Source organism: Homo sapiens, chromosome X, assembly GCF_000001405.40.
Source record: "Homo sapiens chromosome X, GRCh38.p14 Primary Assembly".
NCBI lineage: Eukaryota > Metazoa > Chordata > Mammalia > Primates > Hominidae > Homo > Homo sapiens.
The window spans coordinates 2,285,985-2,301,691 of record NC_000023.11 but is presented as its reverse complement, the minus strand read 5'-3'; the positions used below and the strand labels follow the sequence as shown (position 1 = coordinate 2,301,691).

The following is a 15,707-nucleotide window of genomic DNA, read 5'->3' as shown; positions in this document are numbered from 1 at the left end:
ACTTCAGCCTGAGCTACAGGGTGAAACTCCATCTCAAACAACAACAACAAAGAACTAGGTGAAAAGACCTGGCGTGCTCCTGCAGCGCAACCAGCCGTGATCATACAAAGACCAGAATGCTGCAGGATGGCATGTCATGGCCCATCCCTCTCATCTCTGCTCCACGCAGCAATAAGACCAAAGCTAACCTGCTTCCAGAGACACCTCGTGGAAATGTGCAAGGCTCAGCAAAGAAAGGCTAATATCTAATGATTCATGTATTTACACAGCTTTTTTTTTGAGATGGAGTCTGGCACTGTCACCAGGCTGGAGTGCAGTGGCATGGTCTCGGCTCACTGCAACCTCCGCCTCCCAGGTTCAAGCGATTCCCCTGCCTCAGTCTCCCAAGTAGCTGGGATTACAGGCAATGCACCACCATGCCCAGCTAAGTTTTATATTTTTAGTAGAGACAGGGTTTTGCCATGTTGGCCAGGCTGGTCTCGAATTCCTGAACTCAGGTGATCGCCCGCCTCAGCCTCCCAAAGTCCTGGGATTACAGGCGTAAGCCACTGCGCCCGGCCTGCTTTTTTATTTCTTACTAGCACGAGAACTTAGAGTGATACAAATCTTCTGAATATTTTGGCTGCATTCTGCAGACGGTGACACCTTCTGTTTCCGTGGATATTATTTATAAAACATTTTTGTCACCTGCTATGAATTGTTACCCTGTCCACATGCTTTAAAAGGGCAGTTTTTGAAATCAACATGAGTTTGGGCACTGGGAAATTGCATACTTAATAAAATTAAACATTAAAAAGGGGCTCTTTCTGCTTTCCTATCAACTCAGGCAGCAGGGTGATAGATATAGGGGGTGAGGGATGCACCCTGTGTTGGCCAGGGTTCTCTAGAGGGATATAACTAACAGGATAAATAGCTATATATAAAGGGGGGTTTATTCAGTATTAACTCACAGGATCACAAGGTCCTACAATAAGCTGTCTGCGAGCTGAGGAGCAAGGAAGCCAGCCCGAGTGCTAAAGCTGAAGAACTTGGAGTCCAATTTTTGAGGGCAGGAAGCATCCAGCACGGGAGAAAGCTGTAGCATGGGAGGCTAGGCCAGTCTAACCTTTTCACATTCTTTTGCCTGCTTTTTGAATGTGCTGTGCTGGCAGCTGATTAGATGGTGCCCACCCCGATTAAGGGTGGGTCTGCCTTTCCCACCCCACTAACTCAAATGTTAAACTTGTTTGGCCACACCCTCACAGACACACCCAGGATCAATACTTTGCATCCTTCAATCCAATCAGGTTGACACTCGGCATTAACCATCACACCTGGTGTGTGTTTCTCTGATTATAAGGACACCAGTCCTACTGGACGAGGGCCTCACCCTTTTGAGCTCCTACAGGCCCTGTCTGCAAATAAAGTCACATTGGAGTTTAAGGGTTCTGATGATGAGTGAGGGAGGGCACGGCTCAGTCTATAACGATGTCCTATATCTATTGCAAAGAAAAAATGAAGGCACTATTCAATTCCTCCAAATTAGGAGGTTTGCCAGAGCCTCAGACAAAAGGATTTTTTAGGGAGGTACAGTTCATTCCATAATGATGTTCTCTATCGCAAAGAAGAAGGGGTAATTCAGTTCCTCCAAACCAGGCGATTTGCCAGAACTCCAAACAAAAGGAATTTTTTTTTCTTCTTGATCCCTATTTATCAACACATGCCTCTGTGTCTTTCCAGTTGACTTCATCTCTTGGGCAGCATTAATTTCAGAAATCTGTATTTCTGACTTGCCCTCAGGAAACCCCTTTAGATGTTAGAAATTCTTCTGTGGATGAAGTTATCTTTTTTTTTTTTTGAGACATAGTCTTGCTCTGTCGCCCAGGCTGGAGTGCAGTGGTGTGATCTCGGCTTACTGCAACCTCCACCTCCCAGGTTCAAACGATTGTCCTGCCTCAGCCTCCCGAGTATCTGGGATTACAGGCGTGCACCACCACACCTGGCTAATTTTTGTATTTTTAGTAGAGACCGGATTTCACCATGTTGGCCAGGCTGGTCTCGAACTCCTGACCTCAGGTGATCCACCCATCTCAGCCTCCCAAAGTGCTGGGGTTATAGGCATGAGCCACCACACCCGGCCAGATGAGGTTATCTTCTTGAGTCTCAGGGTTTACTGTCTGTCACTGAGTTGCAAATAAAAGAAAAGTTGGATGAGTTATTGGCAGCCTCAAGAGCAACAGTGAGAATTGTAGACTCACTTTCTGCATTGGAGGGTGTGGTGTGTGGGCTACGGGAAGCGTGGACATCATTCACCATGCTAGGTGCCGAGAGGGGCATCAGACACAGCAGGTGCGTGAATCTCCTGTCTTCATATGATACTGTCTCACTGTCAGAATCACAGTGACAGAAGGCATTTGTTACTGTGGATTCACACTCCGTTAGGGTTAAGATTTTTATTCTGTGTGAGTTCCTTAGGGTTACTGTGAAAAGCACATCTTATCTTCTCTCGATAATTTTTAAGTGACATTTAAAAATATTCAAGCATGTGACTTGACCGAATTGCTTAGCATTTGAGTTGTTGCATTAAATGGAGCATCTCGTCACTTTCAAGTATTTGATACTGGCAGTTGCTAAGAGTTAAAAGGCAGCTGGATTTGTCGCAGACAATGAGTTAAGGAATCCTTCCACATTTTTCCCATTTTTTTTTTTTTTTTTTTTTTTTTTTTTGAGACAGAGTTTCACTCTTGTTGCCCAGGCTGGAGTGCAATGGCACGAGCTCGGCTCACCGCAACCTCTGCCTCCCAGGTTCAAGTGATTCTCCTGCCTTAGCCTCCCTGGTAGCTGGGATTACAGGCATGTGCCACCACACCCGGCTAATTTTGTATTTTTAGTAGAGACGGGGTTTCTCCATGTTGGCCAGGCTGGTCTTGAACTCCCGACCTCAGGTGATCCGCCCGCCTCGGCCTCCCAAAGTGCTGGGAATACAGGCGTGAGCTGCCGCGCCCGGCCCGTTTTTCCCAACTTTAAAAGTAAGGGTTCTCAGGACCCTGTGTAGAGCAGTGAAAATAAGACCTCGTGTGTGTGTGTGTGTGTGTGTGTGTGTGTGTGTGTACACACGCGCCTGCAGGAGAACTGCTGTTCCACTTAGGTGAGAGGATGGGCTGTGTGCTTCAGACCAGGAAATGTGTCATCTTGCCAAGCAACCTGGCTGAGTGTGCTGGAGTCAGGATCTTGAACAGAAACTTCCTTTTCTGGTGTTGTTCACTACAGAGCTAAAATGGCCAAATATATACTGTGAAAATTGTTTTTTTTTTTTTTAACAAAAGACCAGATCCCTCCTTCAGCTGTATACATTTTTGAATAAAATCATATTGAACTAACAAAAAAAAAAAAAACACCAAAACTGGGGAACTTGCACAATAGAAATATATCCTCTCCCAGGTCTGGAGGACAAGACTTTAAATCCAAGGTGTCTCAGGGCTGAGCTCCATCCAGACGCTCTAGGGGAGGATCCTTTTGGCCTCCCCCAGCTCCTGGGGGCTCCAGGCATCCCACGGCTTGTGGCTGTATCACTCCAGTCTCTGCCTCTGTCTTCACATCATCATTTTCTCTCATCTGTCTCAAGCATGCCTGTTCCTCCTCCTTATAAAAACCCCAGGCTAGGCGTGGTAGCTCATGCCTGTCATCCCAGCACTTTGGGAGGCCGAGGCGGGCAGATCACCTGAGGTCAGGAGTTTGAGACCAGCCCGGCCAACATGGTGAAACCCCATCTTTACTAAAAATACAAAAATAAGCCGGGCGTGGTGGCGGGTGCCTGTAATCCCAGCTACTTGGGAGACTGAGGAAGGGAGGATCACTTGAACTCGGGAAGTGGAGGTTGCAGTCAGCCAAGATCTGTCCGCTGTATTCCAGCCTGGGTGACAGAGCAAGACTTTGTCAAAAAAAAAAAACTCAAAAAGACAAAACAAAAAAAACTCCGCACTCCTGTCATCCTAGCATTTTGGGCAGCAGTATGATAACAAGGCCAGGAGTTTGAGACCTACCTTGGCAACATAGAGAGACCCCTGTCTCTATAAAAGCTAACAAACAAAAAACAAAAATCTTTGTCATTATATTTAGGCTAATACAGGATAATTTCCTCATTTGAAAACCTTTAATGTCTAAACACCCTATTTTCATACAAGGTAATCTTTTCACAGGTTCTAGAGATTAGGACCAGGAGATTTTTAGGGACGGAGTGGAGGATACCGTCATTTAGCCTACCACATTCTTACTACCTTAGGAAAGGATGGCCAGGCAAGGTGGCTCACGACGGTAATCCCAGCACTTTGAGAGGCCAAGGCGGGCGGATCGCTTGAGCCCAGGAGTTCGAGTCCAGCTTGGGCAATATTGCAAAATCCGATCTCTACAACAACTACAAAAAGTAGCCAGGCGTGGTGCTGCGCACCTGTGGTCCCAGCTACTCAGGAGGCTAAGGAGGGAGAATCGCTTGAATTCGGGAGGTGGAGGCTGCAGTGAGCCCAGATCACACCTTTGCACTCCAGCCTGGGTGACAGAACGAGACCCTGTCTCAATAAATGCATAAATAATTTTAAAAAGGAAAGTAATTCAGCACAAACATTTGCATATTCCCAAGATGATGCTCACAGCTTGCAGTGCCTGCCTGGGTCCTATTCCTATCTGCCTGGGTCTATCTGCCTGGGTCCTATTCCTATCTGCCTGGGTCCTATTCCTGTCTGCCTGGGGTCTATCTGCCTGGGTCCTATTCCTATCTGCCTGGGTCCTATTCCTATCTGCCTGGGGTCTATCTGCCTGGGTCCTATTCCTATCTGCCTGGGTCCTATTCCTGTCTGCCTGGGGTCTATCTGCCTGGGTCCTATTCCTATCTGCCTGGGTCCTATTCCTATCTGCCTGGGTCCTATTCCTATCTGCCTGGGGTCTATCTGCCTGGGTCCTATTCCTATCTGCCTGGGTCCTATTCCTGTCTGCCTGGGGTCTATCTGCCTGGGTCCTATTCCTATCTGCCTGGGTCCTATTCCTATCTGCCTGGGGTCTATCTGCCTGGGTCCTATTCCTATCTGCCTGGGTCCTATTCCTATCTGCCTGGGGTCTATCTGCCTGGGTCCTATTCCTATCTGCCTGGGTCCTATTCCTATCTGCCTGGGGTCTATCTGCCTGGGTCCTATTCCTGTCTGCCTGGGTCTATCTGCCTGGGTCCTATTCCTATCTGCCTGGGTCCTATTCCTGTCTGCCTCGGGTCTATGCATTTCCTTTTTGTCTGAGGACACATTTTTGCTTCATGCTGATATTTTTCACTTCACCTTTCTCCCCTTTTCTTCTTTTCTCTTTTTCCCTCTCCTTCCCTCCCCTCCCTCTGGGGCAGAAGCTGGCATGCGGCAGAGCGCCAGCAGAGGACGTGGCCCAAGCTCCCATACATCTTCCCTTTACCTCTTCCGCTGACTTTTTTCTGGGTGTGCCCAGAGAGCCTAGCTCTGGACACTCAAAGATGCATCATTTCAATGTATGTTCCAAAGTTACGTAGCATCCAAGGCATATGAGACATGCTTAAAAACATACTGGTCATGCAAGTGAGGAGGTGCAATGATGGGTACTGTCGTTGCGATTGCGGAAGCCAGATCTAGAGATGCCCGGCGTGGCTTGGGGTTCAGGAAAACTTCCTGAAGGAGGTGACACATTTGCGTTTACGATCCCCAAGTGAGGCACACAAGCATCTCTCGGCGAGAACCCCACAGTCCATCCCAGAAAAGGAAAGTCAAGAGAATGGGCTACGTATGGGAGGAAGGGAACTATTTATGGTCTTCGATGAGAAAATAAATGTGCGTATGCGCCCCAGCTTTGTGCTTCGGTATTGCCACATGCCGGAACCGCGTGAAAATACAAGCCGTCAATACAAGCAAGTGCTAGCCCTCTTTTATTATTCTACTGCAGAAGAAGGAAGTCCTTGCTTCTGAGTCATTTTGTGTATTAGTTACACATGCCGTGTAACAAAATAACACAGACTCAGCAGCGTGTCCTAACAGCCTGGTAATATTTTATCCAGAATGACGTGTTTTAGAAAGTTATGTCCTGTCAAAGTAATCCAGATACCATTTCCTTTTCTTCTTGTTTTTTTGGTATTATTATACTTTAAGTTCTGGATACATGTACAGAACGTGCAAGTTTGTTACATAGGTATACACGTGCCATGGTGGTTTGCTGCACCCATCGACCCGTCATCTACATTAGGTATTTGTCCTAAAGCTATCCCTTCCCTAACCCTCCACCCCCCAGCAAGCCCTGGTGTGTGATGTTCCCCTCCCTGTGTCCATGTGTTCTCATTGTTCAACTTCCACTGATGAGTGAGAACATGCAGTGTTTGGTTTTCTGTTCCTGTGATAGTTTGCTGAGAATGATGGTTTCCAGCTTCATCCATGTCCCTGCAAAGGACATGAACTCATCCTTTTTTTATGGCTGCATAGTATTCCATGGTGTCTATGTGCCACATTTTCTTTATCCAGTCTATCATTGATGGGCATTTGGGTTGGTTTCAAGTTTTTGCTATTGTTAATAGTTCCGCAATAAACGTATGTGTGCATGTGTCTTTATAGTAGAATGATTTATAAACCTTTGGTATATACCCAGTAACGGGATTGATGGGTCAAATGGTATTTCTGGTTCTAGATCCTTGAGGAATCGCCACACTGTCTTCCACAATGGTTGAACTAATTTACACTCCTACCAACGGTGTAAAAATGTTCCTATTTCTCCAAATCCTCTCCATTTCCTTTTCTTCTCCTTATACAGTAAGGAATATGAAACTAACACACACTTTCTCTCATTTCATTCTCTTTCTTTTTCTGTCTGCTCTCTTTGTCTTTCTCCCTCTCTCTCTCCCTCTCTTTTTCCTCTCTCTCTCTCCCTCTCTTTTTCCTCTCTCTCTCTCTCTTTCTCTGTCTCTCTCTTTGTCTTCTTTTCTCTATTTCTCTCTGTCTCTCAGTGTTTGTCACGCTCTCTCTCTTTGCCTCTTTCTGTCTCTTTTTTTTTTTTTGAGACAGAGTCTTGCTCTGTCACCCAGGCTGGAGTGCAGTGGCGCGACCTCGGCTTACTGCAACCTCCACCTCCCAGGTTCATGCGATTCTCCTGCCTTAGCCTCCCAAGTAGCTGGGATTACAGGCGTGCACCACCACAGTCGCCTAATTTTTGTATTTTTAGTAGAGATGGAGTTTGACCACAATGGCCAGGCTGGTCTCGAACTCCTGACCTCTGCCCACCTTCCAAAGTGCTGAGATTACAGGTGTGCACCACCACAGCTGGCTAATTTTTGTATTTTTAGTAGAGACGAGGTTTCAACATGTTAGCCAAGCTGGTCTCAAAGTCCTGACCTCACGTGATCTGCCTGCCTTCGCCTCCTAAAGTGCTGGGATTACAGGCATGAGCCATCGTGCCCGGCCTCTTTCTTTGTATCTCTCTGTCTGCCTTTCTCTCTTTGTCCCTTTTACTGTCTCCCGTCCCTCTCTCTCTTTCTGTTTCTCTCTCTCACTGTGTCTCTTTGTCTTTATCTCTGTGTGTTTTTTCTCTCTTCCCCTTTTCCTCCCCCTCCTTTTTTCTCTTTCTCTCTTAGCCTTTCTTTCTTTCTCTCTTTCTCTCTCTCTCTGCTTCTATCTTTCTATCTCTCTCTTTCTCATTCTTACACTCCATCTCTGTCTCTTCTCTCTCTCTGATGGTGAGTGGAGAGTCATTTCGTTTTGGAATGATGATGAGCATTCCAGTAATAGTTTTGGAGAGTAAGGCTCATAGAGCTTATTAAGCAAGGTGTGTCTGTCATAAAATTGATTGCTGGCATTTTACACATCAGTGCAGACATGGGGGGCACAGGCAGACCCCTCCCCCCACCACACACACACACTGCTTATCCTCTGAAAGCTATGTGGCCTTCATAAAAATATTAACAGTTCTTTTACAGTAATGATTTTCCCCTATGAGGCTCCCCAGTGAGGAGGCTGTAAATGACACTGACCACCAGCAGCCCTGCAGATCAAGGCTGTTCTCTTCTCGGCCAGCCCAGAACCAGCCTCTGCTCGCTCCCTCCCTGAGGACTCCTGTCTCTGACCTCTGCACACATGCTGTGATTTGCTCTTCCACCTCACACCATTCCCCATCCTCACCTTTCAGAACTCACTGGCAGTGTCCCCCAATACCTTCCACCTCTCTCCAGAAATTACCTTCCCATCTCAATGTAAGGGAACTTGCTTCTTCCCTCAGAGATCTGCTGTCTCTGCTGCAAGTAATAGCTAGTTTTCATGCATTTTGTTCTGTCTGACTTTAGGTTGTTGCATTGTTCTCCCAACCTCCTTGAACCCATGGACCTGGAGGCAGAATTATATACCTGTGAATTTGCTTTTCTTTCTAGTTCCTCTCCCTCCAAAACCTCAGTCCTTCTGGGAAAAAAAAAAAAAAAACAGCTTTAACACAATCAAACACATCACTTTTAGCGATGGAGACCCACTGGGAATTTAGAGAGAAAGAGTGAAGTTGATATACTGAATACAATAGACATAAGTCTACCTCTCTACCTATGTGATGTTATAAAGCTGTCCCTGAGTCATTCACTCTCTAAAAATGTCATCTTTGGCTGGACACAGCTGCTCACGCCTGTAATCCAACACTTTGGGAGGCTGATGTGGGAGGCTCACTTGAGCTTAGGAGTTCGAGACCAGCCATGGGGACATAGTGAGACCCTGTCTCCAAAAACATAAATGTAATAAAAAATAAAATGCTTTCTTTTATTATTCTTCTGCAGAAGAAGGAAGTCCTTGCTTCTGAGTCATTTTGTGTATTAGTTACATATACTGTGTAACAAAATAACAGACTGAGCAGCGTGGAAGAGCTCATACTTACTATCTGTAGCAAGGGATCCATAAATGGCGTCCTTTTTTATTATTATATAAAATTCTATATTCTCCTGTGGAAGAAGGAAGTCCTTGCTTCTGAGCCATTTTGTGTATTAGTTACATATGCCCTGTAACAAAATAACACAGATTCAGCAACGTGGAAGGGCTCGTACTTCTTACTATCTGTAGCAGGGGATGCATAAATTGCTTCCTGTTTGATTATTATATAAAATTCTATATTCTATATTCCTCTACTGCAGAAGAAGGAAGTCCTTGCTTCTGAGTCATTTTGTGTATCAGTTACATATGCTGTGTAACAAAATAACCCACAGACTCAGCAGCGTGGAAGGGCTCATACTTACTATCCCACAGCTGCTGCGGGTCAGGAATCTGGGCAGGTGTAACTGCATTCTCTCTTCGGGGTCTCACTGGGCTATAACCAAAGTGTCATCTGGCCTGAGGTCCTCTCTGGAGCTCAGGATCTTCGAAATTCACATGGTTATACGCAGAATCCAATTCCTGGAAGCTGCAGATCTGGGGATCTGAGTATCTTGCTGGCTTTTGGCCAGGGGCTGCTGTCAGCTCCTAGAGAGGCCATGCCCAGGTTCTGGCCCCAAGGCGCTCTCACAAAACATCAGCTCACATCAAGGTCAGGAGGAGAATGACAGGTCCCACACAGACTCAAGGAAAGGGGACTATACAAGGATGGGACTCATTGATCTCCCTAGAGTATGAGCTCCTCATTGTACCCTACTGACATGTCCAATTCAGTGTTACTTCCTGGACAGGCGTGGTGGCTCACGCCTGTAATCCCAGCACTTTGGGAGGCTGAGGCGGGCGGATCACCTGAGGTCAAGAGTTTGAGACCAGCCTGGCCAACATGGTGAAACATTGTCTCTACTAAAAAAAAAAAAAAAAAAAAAAATACAAAAATACAAAAATTAGCTGGGCCTGGTGGCATGTGCCTGTAATCCCAGCTACCTGGGAGGCTGAGGCAGGAGAATCACTGGAACCCAGGAAGCAGAGGCTGCAGTGAGCTGAGATCCTGCCACAGCACTCCAGCCCGGTCAACAGAGCGAGACTCCATCTCAAAAAGAGCAGAAAAAAAAAAAGTGTTACTTCCTAGATGAAATTGAGTTTGACCTGTTTAGAAATTTTCTTAATCTCTGAAATAGGTTGGGAGATAACCAGGTATTTTTTGTTGTTGTCCTTTTCCAGTGGAATTTTTATACTGTGACTTGGCTTCCATGACTTCCATCCGGCAGTTTGTGCAGAAGTTCAAGATGAAGAAGATTCCTCTCCATGTCCTGATCAACAATGGTGAGTCCTGGTGAAATTGCAGCAAGCCAGGGGTTAATTTGAATGCAAACAGGAACTCTAGCTTTCATGCGGGAGAAGTGTCTCAGCAAAACAGGATATCCATGGGAATTATTGAACATACCTGCTATTTCTAGTCAGTGCTTCATTTCACGGATAGCTTTGGAAGAGCATCATTCTTGTTAGCATGTTACTTTGAAATAATGGTAAACGCGATAACATGTTGTATGGAGTTGACACGTTGACTTGTCCACTTGGACTAAAGGGTATGAGGCACATGCTAAGGGTTGGTGTTTTCCCAAATGTTATCTTACAAAACCATCACCACATTCCCCTGAGAGTCATTATTTGGGCACTAGAAGCTCATTACCATTTATCTCTTGATTTTACCCCCTGTTCAACATTCTCACCCAGATAGGTGGAGTCAATATCTCCCCTTCCCCACCTTCAATCTGCCCATCTGCCAATCTTCAACACAAACTACCCTTGACCTTGAGCCCTTCTTTGAGCCTCGCTGAGTGCTTAAGGTCATTGCAACGCTTACTGTTGACCTTGAGCCCTTCTTTGGGCCACGCTGAGCGCTTAAGATCATTGCAACACTTAATGTTTCTCCTCGTAACACTGATGCCCATTACTCTCATCCCCTGCTGCAGTCCATTTTATTTTTTATAAAAGTTAACCTGAACCCTCCACACTGAGGAGGTACAGTTATTGACATCTCCAAACTAAGTAAATACATAGAACTAAAGGTCTCAGAAATACACCAACAAACATGTGTGCTAGTAGAATTTAACGCATCACTTTCACAGATGGAGACCAAATGCAAATTCAGAGAGGAAATAAATAGTGACATTAATACAGTGGATAGAACAGACGTACGTCAAACAGTGAGCCCATAAAGACAGCACATTCCTTTCAAATACATGAAATATTTATCAAGTTATTGACACTTCAGATTGCAGACAAAAAAATCAGCAAAAGGATCTTGTGATTACCCAATGTAATTACTCCATTACCCACCTAGACCATTAAAGATTCTTAATTCTGCAAAACCCCTTGTGCTACCTAACGTACCATTTTCATAAATTCTGGAGATTAGGATATGGACATGTCTGTAAGGAGGGAGAAAGCATTATTCTTTGTACTAAAGTTGTAATACCTGTCTGTTTCCAGCTGCCAAGATGTGGTAGCTTCTATCTAATTTTTTTTTCTTTTTGTCTTGATGTGTTTCGTGTTTTTGTATAACATTAATGGGATTGGAGGATAGGAAAGTGGATGAGATACCCACGGTTCCCCCTCAACCCACTTGTTTAATTGGAAATTATTATGCTAGAGTTTAAAGGAGAAGCATGGGATATAAAACTATACATAGAGTGTGATGCCAATTTATGCATAAAAATTTGTACAGACATAGCTATGTGTGAGTGCATATGTATTTGTATATGTATTTGATGTATGATGTATATGTATTTATGCATAAAAATACGTGCAGACATAGCTATGATGTGTGAGTGCCACTCAAATAGCTACAGACAACACCATTTCCATGTACTTAGCCTGGTAAGAAACATCGTATTATCAGTGCTAGTGGCTCCTGTTGGAAGGTCCGGAATGATTTTAACTTTGTGTGTCTTCTTTGGAGATCAATAACACTTTTCAGATTTGCCATCCTGGTGGGATCTGAAGTTTCTACGCAGGCATAAATGATTTCCCAGTCAGCAGCCATTTGGAATCTTCTGTCTCAGCACTGGGTGTGGACTTCCTTTGCTGAAGACCTATCAGTATTAGAAGTGATTAGAATTATAGCATTATAAGTCACCAAATGTGGAGACCACTTAGAGGCACTGTGGAGATCCTACACGACCCGACGTCTCATTTCCTCGTTCTGTGTAACACCCTTACTCATTAGTAATGGGAGCACTTTATCACAGAGCAGTTGGAGATGGAAATACATACATGACATGGTGCCCTTGCACAGAGACACACAAAACAGAACTGTCCATCCTCTTAGGACTTTTGTGCGACTACTTCCATCCATTTGGTATGGGCTTGCATCCACCAGTAAGCAGAAAAAATTAGGAATCTCAGGCCGGGCGCGGTGGCTCACCCCTGTAATCCCAACACTTTGGGAGGCTGAGGTGAGTGGATCACCTGAGGTCAGGGGTTCCAGACCAGCCTGACCAATATGGTGAAACCCTGTCTCTACTAAAAATACAAATATTAGCCAGGCGTGGTGGCGGGCATCTGTAGTCCCAGCTACTCAGGAGGCTGAGGCAGGAGAATCGCTTGAACCTGGGAGGTGGAGGCTGCAGTGAGCCGAGACCACACCATTGCACTCCAGCCTGAGCAACAGAGCAAGACTGTTTCAAAAAAAAAAAAAAATTAGGAATGTCAGATATGATATGTTTCTCCAGCAGAATCTTACTGTGTTCTGGGGGGAGCAGAATTTTACTGAGCAATGTGTATATGAACCACATCTGTGACAGTGGATACAGGCTAACACCAGTTGACACAGGCTAACCAGCGTATACTCCATCACTCAACCACCACGTTTACCTTTTGAAATGGCTATTGCATTCCTAGGATTCTCCTCTGTTCCTTTTCTCAACAGATTTTAAACAAGGCACACAGGGCTCTCAGAAACAAACAAAAATATTCTGGAAACTGGGACAGGGTTGAATTTGAATCAAAAGGGTCTTGTTGTTGGATTGTCTCTGTACCCTATCTCTTCTGTAGAAAATCTCATGCACATATTGGGTTTACTTCTTCCTAGACTTATCTAGACCTTTCTTCCATGCTAAGACCTTTTACCTTCGCTCAATGCCTCAGAGGCACCTCAAGCCAGTAAGTCCAGTGTGAAATTCCTGAGTCTATGGCTGACACTGGTTCTAGAGGAGAGTATTTCCTTCCCCAGTTTTTAGAAGACTGTCAGCGTTTCTTCACCCATGGCCTCCAACCCGGCCTTAAAGCCAGCAATGATAGTGGCTCACGCCTGTAACCTCAGCACTTTGGGAGGCCGAGGCAGGTGGATTACGTGAGGTCAGGAGTTCGAGACCAACGTGGACAACATTGTGAAACCCTGTCTCTACTAAAAATACAAAATTAGCTGGGCATGGTGGCGCATGCCTGTAATCCCAGCTACTCGGGAGGCTGAGGCAGGAGAATTGCTTGAACCCGGGAGGCAGAGGTTGCAGTAAGCTGAGATCACACCACTGCACTCCAGTCTGGGCAACAAGAGCAAAACTCCATCTCAAAACAACAAAAACAACAACAAAGCCAGCAATGAGACACCTTTGAATCTCTCTTTCTTGTTCTCTCTCTCTCCCTCTCTTCCCTTCTCTCTCTTTCTCTCTCTCATCTTGCCTTCTCTTTTTTTTTATCTCCTTCACTTACTTTTGTTCTTCTGCCTGCCTTGTAGAAGAACCATTGTGATTATTTGGGGCCCACCAGGATCATCTCAGATAATCACCTCATCTCAAGATCTTCCACTAATTCACATCTACAAAGGCCCTTTTGCCGTGAAAGTCACATTTTCATGTGTTCCAGAGATGAGGACATGGACATTTTTTCATCTTTTGAGTTATTACTCTTCCAAATTGGGAATAGGTTGTGGGCATCTCTGGGGTCATTATTGTGTCGACCACATGAGAATTAGTCTGTGGACATCTTTAGAGCCATTATTCAGTCTTCCACATGAGGATTAGGATGTGGACATCTTTGGGGCCATTATTCTGTTTCCCACATGAGGATTAGAATGTGAACATCTTTGGGGCTATTATTCTATCTACCACATGGGAATTAACATATGGACATCTTTGGGGCCATTGTTCGGCTTCCACATGGGGATTAGGATGTGGACATCTTTGGGGCCATTATTCTGTCTTCCACATGGGGATTTGGATATGGACATCTTCGGGGCCATTATTCTGTCTCCCACATGGGGATTCGGATATGGACATCTTCGGGGCCATTATTCTGTGTACCACATGGGGATTGGGATGTGGACATCTTTGGGGCCATTATTCTGTCTACCACATGGGGATTAGGATGTGGACATCTTCAGGGCCATTATTTTGTCTTCCACATGAGGATTGGGATGTGGACATCTTTGGGTCATTATTCTGTCTTCCACATGAGGATTAGGATGTGGACATTTTTGGGGCCATTATTCTGTCTTCCACCTGAGGATTAGGATGTGGACATCTTTGGGGCCATTATTGTGTCTCCCACATGGGGATTACAGTGTGGGCATTTTTGGGGTCATGATTCTGTCTCCCACATGAATAATGTGGACCTGGACATCTTGAGTTGTGCATTATTTAACCTGCCATACCTACCTACTCTGCCCTTCACATACTTCGCTTGCAGGAAAAATAAAATAATAAGCAAGATTCTTGACCTCATAGAAATCATACTTTAGCAACGGAAACAAACATTGGACCAATAATCATTCTGTGAAATGTTCTGCCTTAGAAAACACACCTCTTGCAATGTGACAACACAGTCTTGTAAAGTACAGAGAAGATTGCACCCCAAGTCACACGCCTCCCTGGAATTCCCCAGCCTGTGCTGCTCAGAACACCATTTCCAGGAGGTGATAATGAGAATCCATTTGTTACAAGATGATGGCTTGAAATAACACTTTGCACTTTCTTCCTTTTATCTTTTTGTTCTACATCTTTCAAGAGGTTGCTCAGGCTGTGGCTTTCCTGGACTCCCTATAGGTTTTTGTGGCTGACTAAGGTTCATCTTGTCCCTGGGGTCACTGTTGAGAAGAGCTCAGTTGCAGAGGATCTGGATTTTTTTTTTTTTCCTCTGTGGGTACAGACAGAAGCTTCTAGAAAAGAGCTGGAGACTTCGCTTTTGGAGGCTGTGTTGAATACCCATTGCCCACTCTTCACAAGAAGACAGAAATGCAGAGAGGCAGTCTCTTGTTGACAAATCCTCTTGGTTCTCTTGGAAATGCAACAGAACCATGGAGCTTCGTGAAGCCCATGGGCTTGGAAAGGGGCCTCCCGAGGTACCCAGGGTGGATGGAAAGCTGCAGGGATAAGTGCTCCTCAAGCCAGAAGTAGCCCAGATGGCACAGTCTATGCTGAGAATGGATTCATCACCAGCCTGTGTGCTGGAGGCTTGGGCCAGATGAACCTTGATTTAGAGAGGAAGTAAAGCATTTTTTGCCTTGGTTTGTGCATCAGAATTCATCTTCATGGTGTGCAAATGACGAGGCTGGATTCTATACAGTCAGCACTGAGAATGGATTCAGCACAAGCCCGTGTGCTGGAGGCCTGGGTCTGATGTACCTGGATTTAGGGAAGAAGCAAAGTATTTTTCTCATTTATTGCATGCCTTAGTTTGTGCATCAGAATTCATCTTCGTGGTGTGCAAATGAGAAGGCTGGATTCTACACAGTCAGCGTTGAGAATGGATTCATCACCAGCTCTTGTGCTGGAGGCTTGAGCCAGATGTACGTTGATTTAGAGAAGAAGTAAAGGATTTTTCTCATTTGTTGCATGCCTT

The 15,707-nt window shown here is 45.2% G+C and overlaps 1 protein-coding gene across 1 annotated transcript in view; it reads left to right on the top strand.

The window, feature by feature from the left end:
• DHRSX (dehydrogenase/reductase X-linked) overlaps nucleotides 1-15,707 on the top strand; it is a 281,471-nt gene that overhangs the window by 199,285 nt on the left and 66,479 nt on the right. The window contains exon 4 of the mRNA NM_145177.3: nucleotides 10,089-10,190. Within this exon, the coding sequence (NP_660160.2) occupies nucleotides 10,089-10,190 (102 nt within the window). The remainder of the gene's footprint in view (nucleotides 1-10,088; nucleotides 10,191-15,707) is intronic.